The sequence below is a fragment of the Homo sapiens genome, chromosome 6 (assembly GCF_000001405.40).
Source record: "Homo sapiens chromosome 6, GRCh38.p14 Primary Assembly".
In the NCBI taxonomy this organism is placed as follows: domain Eukaryota; kingdom Metazoa; phylum Chordata; class Mammalia; order Primates; family Hominidae; genus Homo; species Homo sapiens.
Window position 1 is genome coordinate 125,340,612 of NC_000006.12, and position 2,998 is coordinate 125,343,609.

Below are 2,998 nucleotides of genomic sequence, written 5' to 3' on the forward strand. Positions count from 1 at the left end.
CAGAACACTGGGCCTGGGTCCAGTTACTTTGATCCTCTAGAGAAGCAAGATGGCTGCGTCGTGTAAAGCTAATTTGGTAGAGTTCACAGGGAGTACAGAGCTGGGTCCTCAAGCAGGCTGCCTGAGTGACCTCATTGTAGGACATACAAGGGCTTGAGTGCCTTCTATTCCCCTAAACAGAAATTCTTGGTATTGCTTTGATGTTTTTTCTCCTTGAGATGTAATTTTGTCACTCTCAAAACAATTCTAAGGCAAACAACAACAATAATAATGGTATGTGGTGTTCTGATCATTTAGGACGTTCTGTTGCTGTTTCTGATTCCAGGATCTAAGCAATAGTCCTTCTTCAAACAGTGGTCTTCTGTCCTTCCCAGCAGATGGTACAGTGGTTGGAAATCTTTACAGGATTCCTGTAGAACCAAAGTCATAGTGACTTTGATGCGTCATTATGCCAAGGCCCAGAAGCTATGGAACATATTACCTTACCATGAAAGGCCTGCTTTGCAATGCTTTGGCACTTGCAAAAATAGTCTTCACATTGAGAGTCCCAGAGTGTGCCTTACACAGTAATAAATTACATTACCAACAGCCATTATGACCTCAGTGAGAGATGCATGCAGCCAAGAGCAGCTACATGTTACTGTCAGTTAATTAGCGTTGGTATTCATTAAAAGTGGGAGTGAAGGCCTGGAAACTATCCATTACTCATTGTGAATGGAGTCATGGGACAGCATAAAAGCTAGCCAAGCAACCACTGAAAGCAAGAACCTGGAAGCAGGTTAGAGATCAACGAATGGGTTACTTGGTTATAGTTCTTTACTATGTGCACACGCCTTCACACAAAAACTCACACACACTCATACACTCAGCCCACACTTGTAACTTCACACACACATTTTCATTGGCATCCATGGTTCATGTTACAGGTTGAATTTTGGCCACCCACCCCAAAGAAATATTAAAGTTTTAAACCCTGGTGTCTGTGAATGTGAGTTTGTTTGGAAATAGGGTATTTGCAGATGTAATAAATTAAGATGAGGTCATACTTGGTTAGGGTGGGCCCTAATCCAATATGACTGGTGTCCTTATAAAAAGAGAAAGCAGAAACATAGGGAGGAAAATGCCATATGAAGACGCAAAGACACATAGACACAGAGGGAAGACAGCCGTGTGATGATGCATACACATTGGAGTTATGCTGCCACAAGCCAAGGAATGCCTGGGGGTATAAGAGGTAAGGAATGATCCTCTCTTAGAGGATTTGGAGGGAGAGTGGCCCTGCCACCACTTTGACATTGGACTTCTACACTCCAGACCAGAGAGAGAATACATTTCTGATATTTAAGCCACCCAGTTTGTGGTGTTTTGTATGGCAACCCTAGGAAAATAATACTGTAGCTCACGTTCATGAAATAGATACCCTCACACTTATGATCCTTCCTGTATCTTCTGTCACACTTTCACACTCAGGTTTCTGTCTCACTTAAAACAATTCAAATTCAAGCACAATAAGCTCATGCACTCCTACTCTCCTACTGTAATCAATGTATGTGTTTTGAGTAACATGGAGGATTAGTCAGAATTGCAAGGTGGACAATTACTACTTTGTGCACTGCTTTGGAAGTAAGGAAAATGTTCTCTTTCATTATGATTCTTCAACCCAGAGAGAGCTGTGATAGATTATAGAAAATATTTTTATTTAGCATATATTTTTCTCATTACTAGCCTAATTTTGATACTGTAGTAAACTTGCCCATGAACAAAGATGTCTTTGGGGGATTTTTTTTTTCTTTTTTTTTTGAGTGGGAGTCTTGCTGTGTCGCCTAGGCTGGAGTGCAGTGGTGCGATCTTGGCTCACTGCAACCTCTGCCTCCTGGGTTCAAGTGATTCTCTTGCCTCAGCCTCCTGAGTAGCTGGGACAACAGGCATGCACCACTGCACACGGCTAATTTTTGTACTTTTAGTGGAGGCAGGGTTTCACCATGTTGACCAGGCTGGTCTCGAACTCCTGACCTCAAGTGATCTGCCCACATCAGCCTCCTAAAGTGCGGGGATTATAGGTGTGAACCCCCACACCTGGCTTTGGGGGAGTTTTTAATGTGACAATTTTTAACCAATTTCAAATTTTGGCAGAAAAAAAATGTTTATAGAAAACTTAAAATAGACCATGCACAGTGACTCATGCCTGTAATCCCAGCACTGTGGGAGGCCTAGGCAAGCGGATCACTTGAGGTCGGGAGTTTGAGACTAGCCAGGTCAACATGATGAAACCCCCATCTCTACTAAAAATACAAAAAATTAGCCGAGTGTGGTGGTGTGTGCCTGTGGTCCAAGCTGCTTGGGAGGCTGAGGCACGAAAATCGTTTGAACCTGGGAGGTGGAGGTTGCAGTGAGCCAAGATTACACCATTGCACTCATGTGTGGGTGGCAGAGCAAGATTTTCTCTCAAAAAAATAAATTTAAAAATGTTTTTAAATATATGATCTTCCTATCATTTACTTTTAAAAACTATATTTTAAATAAGACACTTTCCCAGTGAATATTTATTTTCCTTCTTTAAAATGATCTGTACCATTTCCTTTCATACATATTTACTATTTGCAGTAGCTACGGTAGCTTATATTTTTGTGTTGAACTTTATGGAAAATATAAATTATACAGAGTGGTTTTTGTTATCAAAGTGTTCATAGGCTGTACACCGTGTTCTTGAATTTATACCTCCTTCCCAACATACTTTTTCTTTGAGCATCTACTGATGAATCAAACTGTCTGCCTCTACATCCCCAATTGGCTATCTTAAAGACAGTCAAACTGAACATACAGAAAACCAAGCTGGTGATATTTTTTGTCATTCCAACTCTCTTTCATGTCCCTGCCTCCAGGAATGTTGCTATCCTCCATCCAAGTCAAAAACCTGTGCTTCAAGCTTAACGTCTCCATCTCTCTCCATCTTCATCATTCTACTTTTATCTAATTAAACGCCACTATTTTATTTTAC